Source organism: Homo sapiens, chromosome 12, assembly GCF_000001405.40.
Source record: "Homo sapiens chromosome 12, GRCh38.p14 Primary Assembly".
Taxonomy (NCBI): domain Eukaryota; kingdom Metazoa; phylum Chordata; class Mammalia; order Primates; family Hominidae; genus Homo; species Homo sapiens.
This window is the reverse complement of record NC_000012.12, coordinates 20,659,068-20,675,409: the sequence shown is the minus strand read 5'-3', so window position 1 is coordinate 20,675,409 and position 16,342 is coordinate 20,659,068. Positions and strand designations below refer to the sequence as shown.

The window sequence follows — 16,342 nt, the reverse complement described above, 5'->3', positions numbered from 1 at the left end:
TTTACAGAACATTTTGTTGAACAGCTGCAGAGTACTCATTGTCAGCACATGGAACTATTCTCCAGGATAGACCAGATGCTAGGATACAAAATAAGTCTCAAAACATTTTTTAAAAATCTAAATTATATCAAGTTTCTTCTCAGACCACAATGAATAAAACTAGAAATCAATAACAAAAGAAACTTTGGAAACTGTATAAATACATGAAAATTAAAAAAAATGTCTCTGAATGACCTTTGGGTCAAAGAGATAATTAAGGAATAAATCAATAAATTTCTTGAAACAAATGAAAATGGAAACAACACAAAGTAGTAGTCAAAAGGAAGTTTAACACAATAAATATCAACAACAAAAAACTAAAAATGTTTCAAATAAGCAACCTAATAATGCACCTCAAGGAACTTGAGAAGCAATAACTAACTAGGCCACAAAGTAGTAGAATAAAAGAAATAATAAAGATAAGAGAACTAAATAAAATAAAAATTTAAAAAGTACAATGTGTCAAGGAAACAAAAGTTGGTTTTTTGAAAAGATAAACAAAATGAATAAGCCACTAGCTAGACTAACCAAGAAAAATGAGAAGACCTCCAAAAATAAAATCAGAAATGAAAAAGGAGACATTATAACTGATAGCACAGAAATACAAAAGTATCAGAGACTATTTTGAACAAGTATGTATTAGCAAACTAGAAAACCTAGATGAAATGGATAAATTCCTGGACACATATACCAAGATTGAATCAGGAAGAAATAGAAAACCTAAATAGACCAATAATAAGTAATCAGATTAAATCAGCAATAAAGACTCCCAACAATAAAAAGTTCAGTACTGGGTGACTTCGCATAAAAATGCTTTTTTGCATCTATCCTCTCAATATATGCAGAAAAAGCATTTGATAAAATTCAACATCACTTCATGATAAAAACTAAAAATACTAGGAAGGAACATGCCTCAACATAATAAACACCACACATAATAAAACCACAGCTAATATCATATTGAATGTGGAAAGTTGAAAGCCTTTCCTCTAAGAACTAGAAAAGGACAAGGTGCTCACTATCACTGCTGCTATTCAAAATTGTACTAGAAGTCCTACTCAGAACAATCAGGCATCCAAACTGGAAAAGAGGAAGTCAAATTGTCCCTCTTTGTAGATGACATAATCCTATATCTAGAAAAACATAGACTCCATCAAAAAACTCTTAGATCTGATAAATAAATTGAGTAAAGTTGCAGGATACAAAAATCAATATACAAAAAAATCAGTAGTATTTCTATATACCAATGATGAACTAGCTGACAAAGAAATTAAGAAGGCAATCCCTTTTACAATAGCTATAAAAAATTAGAAATAAATTTAACCAAGATGGATAAAGACCTCTACATGGAAAACTACAAAAATCTGATGAAACACGTTGAAGACAACACACACGAATGCAAAGACATCCCATGATCATGGATCTGAAGTATTAATATTGTTAAAATGACCATTCTACCCAAGCAATGTATGGATTCAGTGCAATCTTTATTTTTATTTTTATTTTTTTTATTTTTATTTTTATTATACTTTAAGTTTTAGGGTACATGTGCACATTGTGCAGGTTAGTTACATATGTATACATGTGCCATGCTGGTGCACTGCACCCACTAACTCGTCATCTAGCATTAGGTATATCTCCCAATGCTATCCCTCCCCCCTCCCCCCACCCCACAACAGTCCCCAGTGTGATATTCCCCTTCCTGTGTCCATGTGTTCTCATTGTTCAATTCCCACCTATGAGTGAGAATATGCGGTCTTTGGTTTTTTGTTCTTGCAATAGTTTACTGAGAATGATGTTTTCCAATTTCATCCATGTCCCTACAAAGGACATGAACTCATCATTTTTTATGGCTGCATAGTATTCCATGGTGTATATGTGCCACATTTTCTTAATCCAGTCTATCATTGTTGGACATTTGGGTTGGTTCCAAGTCTTTGCTATTGTGAATAATGCCGCAATAAACATACGTGTGCATGTGTCTTTATAGCAGCATGATTTATAGTCCTTTGGGTATATACCCAGTAATGGGATGGCTGGGTCAAATGGTATTTCCAGTTCTAGATCCCTGAGGAATCGCCACACTGACTTCCACAATGGTTGAACTAGTTTACAGTCCCACCAACAGTGTAAAAGTGTTCCTATTTCTCCACATCCTTTCCAGTACCTGTGGTTTCCTGACTTTTTAATGATTGCCATTCTAAATGGTGTGAGATGGTGTCTCATTGTGGTTTTGATTTGCATTTCTCTGATGGCCAGTGATGATGAGCATTTTTTCATGTGTTTTTTGGCTGCATAAATGTCTTCTTTTGAAAAGTGTCTGTTCATGTCCTTCGCCCACTTTTTGATGGGGTTGTTTGTTTTTTTCTTGTAAATTTGTATGAGTTCATTGTAGATTCTGGATATTAGCCCTTTGTCAGATGAGTAGGTTGTGAAAATTTTCTCCCATTTTGTAGGTTGCCTGTTCACTCTGATGGTAGTTTCTTTTGCTGTGCAGAAGCTCTTTAGTTTAATTAGATCCCATTTGTCAATTTTGTCTTTTGTTGCCATTGCTTTTGGTGTTTTAGACATGAAGTCCTTGCCCATGCCTATGTCCTGAATGGTAATGCCTAGGTTTTCTTCTAGGGTTTTTATGGTTTTAGGTCTAACGTTTAAGTCTTTAATCCATCTTGAATTGATTTTTGTATAAGGTGTAAGGAAGGGATCCAGTTTCAGCTTTCTACATATGGCTAGCCAGTTTTCCCAGCACCATTTATTAAATAGGGAATCCTTTCCCCATTGCTTGTTTTTCTCAGGTTTGTCAAAGATCAGATAGTTGTAGATATGCAGCGTTATTTCTGAGGGCTCTGTTCTGTTCCATTCTTGTATATCTCTGTTTTGGTACCAGTACCATGCTGTTTTGGTTACTCTAGCCTTGTAGTATAGTTTGAAGTCAGGTAGTGTGATGCCTCCAGCCTTTGTTCTTTTGGCTTAGGATTGACTTGGCGATGCGGGCTCTTTTTTGGTTCCATATGAACTTTAAAGTAGTTTTTTCCAATTCTGTGAAGAAAGGCATTGGTAGCTTGATGGGGATGGCATTGAATCTGTAAATTACCTTGGGCAGTATGGCCATTTTCACGATATTGATTCTTCCTACCCATGAGCATGGAATGTTCTTCCATTTGTTTTTATCCTCTTTTATTTCCTTGAGCAGTGGTTTGTAGTTCTCCTTGAAGAGGTCCTTCACATCCCTTGTAAGTTGGATTCCTAGGTATTTTATTCTCTTTGAAGCAATTGTGAATGGGAGTTCACTCATGATTTGGCTCTCTATTTGTCTGTTGGTGTATAAGAATGCTTGTGATTTTTGTACATTGATTTTGTATCCTGAGACTTTGCTGAAGTTGCTTATCAGCTTAAGGAGATTTTGGGCTGAGACAATGGGGTTTTCTAGATATACAATCATGTCATCTGCAAACAGGGACAATTTGACTTCCTCTTTTCCTAATTGAATACCCTTTATTTCCTTCTCCTGCCTAATTGCCTTGGCCAGAACTTCCAACACTATGTTGAATAGGAGTGGTGAGAGAGGGCATCCCTGTCTTGTGCCAGTTTTCAAAGGGAATGCTTCCAGTTTTTGCCCATTCAGTATGATATTGGCTGTGGGTTTGTCATAGATAGCTCTTATTATTTTGAAATATGTCCCATCAATACCTAATTTATTGAGAGTTTTTAGCATGAAGGGTTGTTGAATTTTGTCAAAGGCTTTTTCTGCATCTATTGAGATAATCATTTGGTTTTTGTCTTTGGCTCTGTTTATATGCTGGATTACATTTATTGATTTGCGTATATTGAACCAGCCTTGCATCCCAGGGATGAAGCCCACTTGATCATTGTGGATAAGCTTTTTGATGTGCTGCTGGATTCAGTTTGCCAGTATTTTATTGAGGATTTTTGCATCAATGTTCATCAAGGATATTGGTCTAAAATTATCTTTTTTTGTTGTGTCTCTGCCTGGCTTCGGTATCAGGATGATGCTAGCCTCATAAAATGAGTTAGGGAGGATTCCCTGTTTTTCTATTGATTGGAATAGTTTCAGAAGGAATGGTACCAGTTCCTCCTTGTACCTCTGGTAGAATTCAGCTGTGAATCCATCTGGTCCTGGACTCTTTTTTGTTGGTAAACTATTGATTATTGCCACAATTTCAGATCCTGTTATTGGTCTATTCAGAGATTCAACTTCTTCCTGGTTTAGTCTTGGGAGAGTGTATGTGTCGAGGAATTTATCCATTTCTTCTAGATTTTCTAGTTTATTTGCGTAGAGGTGTTTGTAGTATTCTCTGATGGTAGTGCGTATTTCTGTGGGATCGGTGGTGATATCCCCTTTATCATATTTTATTGCGTCTATTTGATTCTTCTCTCTTTTTTTCTTTATTAGTCTTGCTAGTGGTCTATCAATTTTGTTGATCCTTTCAAAAAACCAGCTCCTGGATTCATTAATTTTTTGAAGGGTTTTTTGTGTCTCTATTTCCTTCAGTTCTGCTCTGATCTTAGTTATTTCTTGCCTTCTGCTAGCTTTTGAATGTGTTTGCTCTTGCTTTTCTAGTTCTTTTAATTGTGATGTTAGGGTGTCAATTTTGGATCTTTCCTGCTTTCTCTTGTGGGCATTTAGTGCTATAAATTTCCCTCTACACACTGCTTTGAATGCGTCCCAGAGATTCTGGTATGTTGTGTCTTTGTTCTCCTTGGTTTCAAAGAACATCTTTATTTCTGCCTTCATTTCGTTATGTACCCAGTAGTCATTCAGGAGCAGGTTGTTCAGTTTCCATGCAGTTGAGCAGTTTTGAGTGAGATTCTTAATCCTGAGTTCTAGCTGGATTGCACTGTGGTCTGAGAGATAGTTTGTTATAATTTCTGTCCTTTTACATTTGCTGAGGAGAGCTTTACTTCCAATTATGTGGTCAATTTTGGAATAGGTGTGGTGTGGTGCTGAAAAAAATGTATATTCTATTGATTTGGGGTGGAGAGTTCTGTAGATGTCTATTAGGTCCGCTTGGTGCAGAGCTGAGTTCAATTCCTGGGTATCCTTGTTGACTTTCTGTCTCGTTGATCTGTCTAATGTTGACAGTGGGGTGTTAAAGTCTCCCATTATTAATGTGTGGGAGTCTAAGTCTCTTTGTAGGTCACTCAGGACTTGCTTTATGAATCTTGGTGCTCCTTTATTGGGTGCATATATATTTAGGATAGTTAGCTCTTCTTGTTGAATTGATCCCTTTACCATTATGTAATGGCCTTCTTTGTCTCTTTTGATCTTTGTTGGTTTAAAGTCTGTTTTATCAGAGACTAGGATTGCAATCCCTGCCTTTTTTTGTTTTCCATTTGCTTGGTAGATCTGCCTCCATCCTTTTATTTTGAGCCTATGTGTGTCTGCACGTGAGATGGGTTTCCTGAATACAGCACACTGATTGGTCTTGACTCTTTATCCAATTTGCCAGTCTGTGTCTTTTAATTGGAGCATTTAGTCCATTTACATTTAAAGTTAATATTGTTATGTGTGAATTTGATCCTGTCATTATGATGTTAGCTGGTTATTTTGCTCGTTAGTTTATGTAGTTTCTTCCTAGTCTCGATGGTCTTTACATCTTGGCATGATTTTGCAGCAGCTGGTACTGGTTGTTCCTTTCCATGTTTAGTGCTTCCTTCAGGAGCTCTTTTAGGGCAGGCCTGGTGGTGACAAAATCTCTCAGCATTTGCTTGTCTGTAAAGTATTTTATTTCTCCTTCGCTTATGAAGCTTAGTTTGGCTGGATATGAAATTCTGGGTTGGAAATTCTTTTCTTTAAGAATGTTGAATATTGGCCCCCACTCTCTTCTGGCTTGTAGGGTTTCTGCCGAGAGATCTGCTGTTAGTCTGATGGGCTTCCCTTTGAGGGTAACCCGACCTTTCTCTCTGGCTGCCCTTAACATTTTTTCCTTCATTTCAACTTTGGTGAATCTGACAATTATGTGTCTTGGAGTTGCTCTTCTTGAGGAGTATCTTTGTGGTGTTCTCTGTATTTCCTGAATCTGAACGTTGGCCTGCCTTGCTAGATTGGGGAAGTTCTCCTGGATAATATCCTGCAGCATGTTTTCCAACTTGGTTCCATTCTCCCCATCACTTTCAGGTACACCAATCAGACGTAGATTTGGTCTTTTCACATAGTCCCATATTTCTTGGAGGCTTTGCTCGTTTCTTTTTATTCTTTTTTCTCTACACTTCCCTTCTCGCTTCATTTCATTCATTTCATCTTCCATCGCTGATACCGTTTCTTCCAGTTGATCACATCGGCTCCTGAGGCTTCTGCATTCTTCACGTAGTTCTCGAGCCTTGGTTTTCAGCTCCATCAGCTCCTTTAAGCACTTCTCTGTATTGGTTATTCTAGTTATACATTCTTCTAAATTTTTTTCAAAGTTTTCAACTTCTTTGCCTTTGGTTTGAATGTCCTCCCGTAGCTCGGAGTAATTTGATCGTCTGAAGCCTTCTTCTCTCAGCTCGTCAAAGTCATTCTCCATCTAGCTTTGTTCCGTTGCTGGTGAGGAACTGCGTTCCTTTGGAGGAGGATTGGTGCTCTGCTTTTTAGAGTTTCCAGTTTTTCTGTTCTGTTTTTTCCCCATCTTTGTGGTTTTATCTACTTTTGGTCTTTGATGATGGTGATGTACAGATGGGTTTTTGGTGTGGATGTCCTTTCTGTTTGTTAGTTTTCCTTCTAACAGACAGGACCCTCAGCTGCAGGTCTGTTGGAGTACCCTGCCATGTGAGGTGTCAGTGTTCCTCTACTGGGGGGTGCCTCCCAGTTAGGCTGCTCAGGGGTCAGGGGTCAGGGACCCACTTGAGGAGGCAGTCTGCCTGTTCTCAGATCTCCAGCTGCATGCTGGGAGAACCACTGCTCTCTTCAAAGCTGTCAGACAGGGACATTTAAGTCTGCAGAGGTTACTGCTGTCTTTTTGTTTGTCTGTGCCCTGCCCCCAGAGGTGGAGCCTACAGAGGCAGGCAGGCCTCCTTGAGCTGTGGTGGGCTCCACCCAGTTCGAGCTTCCTGGCTGCTTTGTTTACCTAATCAAGCCTGGGCAATGGCGGGCGCCCCTCCCCCAGCCTCACTGCCGCCTTGCAGTTTGATCTCAGACTGCTGTGCTAGCAATCAGCGAGACTCTGTGGGCGTAGGACCCTCCAAGCCAGGTGCGGGATATAATCTCATGGTGCGCCGTTTTTTAAGCCCGTCGGAAAAGCGCAGTATTCAGGTGGGAGTGACCTGATTTTCCAGGTGCCATCTGTCACCCCTTTCTTTGACTGGGAAAGGGAACTCCCTGACCCCTTGCGTTTCCCAAGTGAGGCAATGCCTCGCCCTGCTTTGGCTCGCGCACGGTGCGCGCACCCACTGACCTGCGCCCACTGTCTCGCACTCCCTAGAGAGATGAACCCGGTACCTCAGATGGAAATGCAGAAATCACCATCTTCTGCATCCACCACGCTGGGAGCTGTAGACCGGAGCTGTTCCTGTTCGGCCATCTTGGCTCCTCCCCCGCAATCTTTATTTTTAAAATACCAATACATTATTCAGAAAAACAGGAAAAACAATTCCAAAATCTCTATGGAACCAAAAAAGAGCTTGAGTAGCCAAAGCAATCCTGAACGAAAAGAACAAAGATGGAGGCACCACACTACCTGACTTCAAAATATGCTTCAAGGGTATAGTAAACAAAACAGCATGGTGTTAGTATATAAATGGACATATAGACCAATAAAACATAGACTCCAGAAATAAATGCATGTATTTATAGCCAACTGATTTATGACAAAGGTGCCAAGAACATATATTGAAGAAAGGACATCTTTTTTAATAAGTGGTGCTGGGAAAATTGGATATTCACATGCAGAAGAATGAAACTAGACTCCATTTCTCACTATATACAAAAATCAACTCAAGATAGATTAAAGACTTAAGTAAGACCAAAAACTATAAAACTGTTAGAAGACAACATAAGGGAAGTTCTATAGGACATTGACCTAAGCAAAGATTATTATGATTAAGACCTCAAAAACCCAGGCAACAAAAACAAATACAGACAAATGGGACTAAACTAAAAACGAAAACCTTCTGTATAGCAAATGAATCAACATAGTGAAGAGAAAATCTATAGAATGGAAGAAAATATATGCAAATTGTTCATACAACAAGGAACTAATATCCAGAATATACAAGAAAATCAAGCAACAGTTAAAAAACAAAAACAAAAAAATTCTATTAAAAAGTGGGCAAGGACATGAATAGACATTTCTGAAAAGAAAACATACAAATGGCCAACAGGTATATGAAAAAATGCTCAATATCACTAATCACCAGGAATATGCAAATCAAAGCCACAATGAGATATCATCTTACCCCAGTTAGAATGGCTATTACTAAAAACAGAAAAACAACAGATGCTGGCAAGGATGTGGAGAAAAGGGAACTCATAACACTGTTTGTAGGTATATAAGTTGGTATAGCCACTATGGAAAACAGTATGCAGATTTCTCAAAATCTCAAAAGAGAACTACCATATGATCTAGCAATCCCACTACTGGGTATTTATCAAAGGAAAAGAAATTAGTATATTAAAAAGATAATTGCACCCCCATATTTATTGCAGCAGTCTTCACAATAGCAAAGATATGGAATCAACCTAAGTGTCCATCAACTGATGAATGGATAAAGAAAATGTGGTATACATACACAATGGAATAATATTCAGACATAAAAAGAATAAAATTATGACATTTGCAGCATCATTAATGGAACTGGAGATCATTATGTTAAATGAAATAAGTCTAGCAATAAAGACAAATATCTCATGCTCTCACTCTTATGTGGGAGCTAGAAAAGTTGATCTCATGGAAGTGAGGGTAGAATGACAGACATCAGAAGCTGAGAAGGGTGTATGGTTGGGGGTTAGGAGGAATGAAGAGATATTGATTAATGAGCACAAACATACTAGTTAGAATAAATAAGTTCTTCGATAGCAGAGTAAGGTGATTATTGTTAAAAATAATGTATTGCATACTTTAAAATAGTGGGAAGAGGGGACTTCCCAACACATAGAAATGATAAATATGGCCGGGTGCAGTGGCTCATGCCTGTAATCCCAGCACTTTGGGAGGCCGAGGCGGATGGACCACTTGAGGTCAGGAGTTTAAGACCAGCCTGGCCAACATGGTGAAACCCCATCTCTACTAAAAATACAAAAATTAGCCGGGCATGGTGGCATATGCCTGTCCTAGCTACTTGGGGGGCTGAGGCAGGAGAATCACTTCAACCCAGGAGACGGAGTGAGCTTGCAGTGAGCTGAGAATGTGCCACTGCCCTCCAGACTGGGTGACAGACTGAGACTCGGTCTCAAAAAAAAAAAAAAAAAAAAAAGAAATGACAAATACTCGAGGTGACAGATATTCTAAATATCCTGATTTAATCATTACACATTTGATGAATGTAGCAAAATATCATGTGCCCCACATAAATATGTACAAATATATATTGATTAAAAATACAAAAAGTTGCATATTACATAAGACAGGGAAATGCAAATGAAAACTATAACATAAGAGCACTCTATGCCTACTTGGAATAGCTAAAATGAAAATGACTATAAAAAATCAAGTGTAGACGAAGAATTTAACAATTAGAACTAATATATTGCTTATAGGAATGTACATTTTTTACATCTACTTTGGAAAATTATTTGCTTCTGTCTATTAATCTGAATAAATGAGTACCCTACTTAAAAAAAATAAACTCAAATCTTATTTTCATATATTCCAAATAGTTTCTCTTCTAGACCATAGGGTCTGTGAGGGAGCCTTGGACAAACCTGTACAGATCTTATACATCAGCACGTATGCATTTAAAAAAGAAATACATTACATTTTCTTTGACCAAATGATTCAAAGTTTTCAACATGCAAATATTAAGAAAAATTTTCACAGAATTACATCCTTTAATTGAGGAAAAATAATAAACCCAATTTAAACAGAAAAAAATATATTTCAAAGAAGACTATTTAATGTCAGCATTCACTATTGAGGTTTCTAAATTCCTTATCTATTTATGAATCACCTGATATGTACCAAAATGTTGTCCTCAGTTCTAGTGACCCTCTGACAGACAAGATAAATATGATGCTTGCCAGCAGCAGGCTTTTACTCTAGTAGGAAAATAGTGAACAAGCAGGTACATTTATACTGAGTCTTATGGAGTCTTTGAAAGTCAGCAGAAAGGGAGGGAGATGGCCCAGTTGGTACAATATTGTATGGAGGTGGTGACTGGATTAGGACAGGGGTAATGAAAATGAAGAAAAGTCAATAAATATGAGATATATTTGTATGGGAGAATCAACAGGACTTGGCAACTGATTAGAGGTAGGGAATTAAGAGGGAGGAATCAGAGACAACCCTGTTTTCTGGCCTGAGCAGTTGAGTATGTTGGTAAGATGTACTGAGAAAGGGAAGGTTGGATGAGGAGTATATTTGAGGGTGTGTTAGTCAATTTCACACTGCTGATAAAGACATACCTGAGACTGGATAATTTACAAAGAAAAAAGAGGTTTAATGGACTCAAGAGTTCCACATGGCTGGGGAGGTCTCACAAACATGGCAGAAGGCAAAAGGCATGTCTTACATGGTGTCAGGCAAAAAGAGAATGAGAGAGTCAAGCAAAAGAGGAAACCCCTTATAAAATCATCAGATCCATGACTTATTCAGTACCAGGAGAACAATATGGGGGAAACTGCCCTCATGATTCAAGTGTCTCCCATTGGGTCCTTTCCACAACACATGAGAATTATTGGAGCTACAATTCAAAATGAGATTTGGGTGGGGACACAGCAAAACCATATCAGCAGAAAATGAATAGAGGTATTCTGAACATGAAGTGTCTGGAAGACCTCTGAGTAGAGAGGTAAAGTAGGCAGCTGGTAGACAGCTTAGAAGAGAGGTCTGTTCTTTTCCAAGCAACCAGAATATCATTTAACTCTCAGTACCCTCATCTAAGTGACGATTTTAGACTTGAGCCAAGAGTTCAGAAGTTCAGCTAAGATCCTCCCATTAGATTGTGAATTTCCCTGGTGTATTAGTCCATTCTCATGCTGCTATAAAAAACTGCTCAAGACTGGGTAATTTATAAAGGAAAGAGGTTTAATTGACTCACAGTTCCACAGGGCTGGGGAGGCCTCAGGAAACATAATCATGGTGGAAGGGGAAGCAAACATGTCCTTAATTCACATGGTGGCAGGAAGAGAGAAGTGCCAAGCAAAGGGGGAAAAGTCCCTTACAAAACCATTAGATCTCATAAGAACTCATTATAACAAGAACAGCAGCATGACAATAACCACCCCCATGATTCAATTACCTCCCACTGGGTCCCTCCCGCAACACATGGAGATTATGTAAACTACAATTCAAGATGAGATTTGGGTGGTGACATAGCCAAATCATATTATTCTGCCCCTCACCTCTCCCAAAACTAATATCCTCACATTTCAAAACACAATCTTGCCTTTCCAAAAGTCCCCCAATGTCTTAACTCATTCCAGCATTAACCCAAAAGTCCAAGTCCAAGGTCTCATCTGAGACAAGGCAAGTCCTTTCTGCCTATAAACCTGCAAAATCAAAAGCAAGTTAGTTACTTCCCAGATACAATGATGGTACAGGCACTGGGTAAATACAATCATTCCAAATGGGAGAAATCTGCCAAAACAAAGGGGCTACACGTCCCATGCAAGTCTAAAATTCAAAAGGGCAGTTGTTATACCTTAAAGTTAAAAAATGATCTCCTTTGACTCCATGTCTCATATCCAGGTCAAAATGATGCAAGAGGTGTGCTCCCACAGCCTTGGGCAGCTTTGCCCCTGTGGCTTTGCAGGGTACAGCACCTCCCCTCCAGCTGCTTTCACAGGCTGGCATTGACTGCCTGTGGCTTTTCCAGGTGCACAGTGCAAGCTGTTGGTGGATCTACCATTCCGGGGTCTGGAGGACAATGGCCCTCTTCTTACAGCTCCACTGTGCAGTGCACCAGTAGGAACTCTGTGTGGTGGCGCCAACCCCACATTTCCCTTCCATACTGCCCTAGCAGAGGTTCTCCATGAGGGCTCCACCCCTGTAGCAAACTTCTGCCAGGACATCCAGGCATTGCCATACATCCTCTTTAATCTAGGTGGAGGTTCCCAGACCTCAATTTCTGTCTTCTGCACACCACAGACCTAACATGATATGGAAGTTGCCAAGGCTTCGGGCTTGCACCCTCTGAAGCCACAACCTGAGCTGTACATTGGCCCCTTTCTGCCATGGCTGAAACAGCTGGGACTCACGGCACCAAGTCCCTAGGCTGCACACAGCAGAGGGTCTGGGGCCTGGCCTGTGAAATCGTTTTTTCTGCCTAGGCCTCTGGGTCTATGATAGGAGGGACTGCCACTAAGGTCTCTGACATGCCCTGGAGACATTTTCTCCATTGTCTTGGTGATTAACATTTGGCTCCTTGTTACTTATGCAAATTTTCTGCAGCCCACTTGAGTTTCTCCTCAAAAAATGGGTTTTTCTTTTCTATCACATCCTCAGGTTGCAAATTTTCTGAATTTTTATGCTCAGCTTCCCTCTTAAAGATAAGTTCCAATTCCAAACCATGTCTTTCTGAATACATAAAACTGAGAGATTTTAATAGCACCAAAGTCACCTCTTGAGTGCTTTGCTGCTTAGAGATTTCTTCGGCCAGATACCCTAAATCATCTCCCTCAAGTTCAAAGTTTCACAGATCTCTAGGGCTAGAGCAAAATGCCACCAGTTTCCTTGCTGAAACAAAGGCGCTACAGGCCCCATGCAAGTCTAAAATTCAATAGGGCAGTCATTAAACCTTAAAGTTCAAAACTGATCTCCTTTGACTCCATGTCTCACATCCAGGTCAAAATGATGCAGGAGGTGTTCTTGGGCAGCTTTGCCCCTGTGGCTCTGCAGGGTAAGCAAAACAAGAGTGACTTTTACTCCAGTTCTCAACAAGTTCCTCATCTTTATCTGAGACCACCTCAGCCTGGAGTTTATTGTCCATATCACTATCAGCATTTTGGTCAGTGCCATTCAACAAGTCTCTAGAAGTTCCAAACTTTCCTATATTTTCCTGTCTTCTGAGTCCTCCATATTAGTCCGTTTTCATGCTACTGATAAAGACATACCCAAGACCGGGCAATTTACAAAAGAAAGAAGTTTATTGGACTTACAGTTTCACATGGCTGGAGAGACCTGACAAGCATGGTGGAAGGCAAAGAGGGGCATCCTATAGTGTTGGGCAGCTCTGCCCCTGTGGCTTTACAGGGTACAGCCTCCCTCATGGATGCTTTCATGGGCTGGCATTGAGTGTCTGTGGCTTTTCCAGGCACATGGTGCCAGCTGTTGGTGGATCTACCATTCTGGGGTCTGGAGGACAGTGGCTCTCTTCTCACAGTTCCATTAGGCACTGCCCCAGTAGTAACTCTGTGTGGTAGCTCTGACCCTACATTTCCCTTCCACACTGCCCTAGCAGAGGTTCTGCATGACTGCCCCACCCCTGCAGCAAACTTCTGCCTGATCATCCAAGCATTTCCGTACACCCTCTGAAATATAGGCAGAGGTTCCCAAACCTCAGTTCTTTACTTCTGTTTACTCACAGGCTCAACACCACATGGAAGGTGCCAAGGCTTGAGGCGTCCACCCTCTCAAGCAACAGCCCAAGCTGTACCTTGGCCTCTTTCAGTGACAACTGGAGTGGTTGGGATGCAGGGAACCAAGTCCCTAGGCTGCACACTGCTCAGGGACCCTGAACCCAGCCCATTAAACCACTTTTTCCTCCTAGGCCCCTAGGCCTGTGATGGGAGGGGCTGCCATGAAGACCTCTGACATATACTGGAGACATTTTCCCCATTGTCTTGGGGATTAACAGTTGGCTCCTCATTACTTATGCAAATTTCTGCAGCTCGCTTGGATTTATCCTCACAAAATGGGATTTTCTTTTCTATTGCATTGCCAGACTGCAAATTTTCTGAATTTTTATGTTCTGCTTCCCTTATAAAATGGAATGCCTTTAAGAGCACCCAAGTTGCCTTTGAATGCTTTGCTGCTTAGAAATTTCTCCCACCAGATACCGTAAATCATCTCTCTGAAGTTCAAAGTTCCACAAATCTCTAGGGCAGGGGGATAATGCTGCCAGTCTCTTTGCTAAAACAGAACAAGAGTCACATTTGCTCCAGTTCTCGACAAGTTCCTCATCTCCATCTGAGACCACCTCAGCCTGGACTTCATTGTTCATATCACTATCAGCATTTTTTGTCAAAGCCATTCAACAAGTCTCTAGAAAATTCCAAACTAACTTTCTCACATTTTCTTTTTTCTTCTGAGCCCTCCAAACTGTTCCAACCTCTTCCTGTTACCCAGTTCCAAAGTCGTTTCCACATTCTTGGTTGTCTTTTCAGCAGCACCCAACTCTACCAGTACCAATTTACTGTATTCGTCCATTTCCATGCAGCTGACAAAGACATACCTGAGACTGGGCAATTTACAAAGGAAAGAGGTTTAATTGAGCACTCACTCACAGTTCCATGTTGCTCAGGAAGCCTCACAATCATACAGGAAGGCAAGGAGAAGCAACTCACATCTTACATGGATGGCAGCAGCCAAAAAGAGAACTTGTGCAAAGGAACTCCTCTTTTTAAAACCATTAGATCTTGTGAGACTTATTCACTATCACGAGAACAGCATAGAAAAGACTTGCCATGATGATACAATTATCTCCCACCGGGTCCCTCCACAACACATGGGAATTTAAGATTAGATTTGGGTGGAGACACAGCCAAACCATATGACCCTCCAATCTCCAGGAAGTTCCAAACTTTCTGTCATTTTCCTGTCTTCTTCTGAGCCCTCCAAACTGTTCCAATCTCTGCCTGTTACTGTGTTCCAAAGTTGCTTCCACAATTTTGGGTATCTTTATATCAGCACCCCACTTCTGGTACCAACTTACTGTATTAGTCCATTTTCACACTGCTATAAAGAACTCCCAAGACTGAGTAATTTACAAAGAAAAGAGATTTAATTGACTGACAGGGCTATGGAGGCCTCAGGAAATTATAATCATGGTGGAAGGGGAAGCAAACATCCTTCTTCACATGGTCATACAAAGAGAGAAGTGCCAAGGAAAGGGGGAAAAGCCTCTTATAAAACCAGCAAATCTTGTGACAAGTCACTCACTGTCATGAGAACAGTAGCATGGGGGTAACTCCCCTTATGATTCGATTACCTCCCACCAGGTCCCTCCCACGACACATGGGGATTATGGGAACTACAATTCAAGATGAGGGTTGGGTGGGAACACAGCCAAACCATATCACCTGGTATATGGACTTTTCTCTTTACTTTTGTGTATATGTAATATCTGTGAAGACCTAGACTTTACTAAAGCATTCAGTAAAAGTTTACTAAATGAATAATTTTCTCTCTAGTTTTTGTTCCACATTTCCAGGTAAATGATGAAGTATTGATAAGTGGTAAAAATAAAACTAATACGAAAAAGTGGTCTACAGGAGATGCTGATCTAATTGAGACTGCATTAAAGAGTTAATAGTTCATGCTGGCTATGGTGGCTCATGCTGCCTGTAATCTTAGCTACTTGGGAGGCTGAAGCAAGAGGATCACTTGACGTCAGGGGTTCCAAACCAGCCTGGGAAACATAGTGAGGTCCTGTTTCTACAGAAATAAATAAAGTGAGACTGCTGTCTCTACAAAAGTAAATAAACAATTAAAAAAAACAGTACAAGTTAGCAGGAAGATCAAAAGGGATATTTGGGTCTATTTAATGAAGTAGATATGACTTACTCTGGGAGCAAGAAAAAAAAGAAAAGTCTTAATAATAGCACAATAATGAAAGAAAAAAAGCCAATTTCTATGGGGGTGACAAAGAAACTTGGAGGTCATCTGCCAACATCTTTGTGGAAGGGCTAGTCATTCTTTTAACAGTTTTATTTTGATATACTGCAGAAATTTCTTGTACTGTACAGAATAAAATTAATTTTTAAAACACAGTGAATAAAAAGGACATTAAATTATCTTGAATTAATTTTGAACCATATAGACACAGAATGACAATTATTAAATTGAATGAGTGCTGAGGGAAATGAACACAGGCAGAGTCAAAAGGAAAAAAAAATTATGATATTCATAATTTCTTCATGAGATGGACTCAAACTAACTGGCAAATACTTTCCAGGATACTTTGGAAACACAGATCAATTAAGCTCAGA

General features: G+C 39.8%; 1 protein-coding gene across 5 annotated transcripts in view; it reads right to left on the bottom strand.

Annotated features, from left to right (window-relative positions):
- Nucleotides 1-16,342, bottom strand: part of PDE3A (phosphodiesterase 3A) — a 320,047-nt gene that overhangs the window by 13,174 nt on the left and 290,531 nt on the right. Inside the window, exon 15 of one of the 5 annotated variants that reach the window (NM_001378409.1) lies at nt 11,202-13,025. The exons of the other annotated variants lie outside the window; for them this stretch is intronic. Coding sequence (NP_001365338.1) covers nt 12,979-13,025 — 47 coding nt within the window. The 3' untranslated portion in view covers nt 11,202-12,978. Of the gene's footprint in view, nt 1-11,201; nt 13,026-16,342 lie in introns of those variants that run through there. 5 annotated transcript variants of the gene reach the window in all.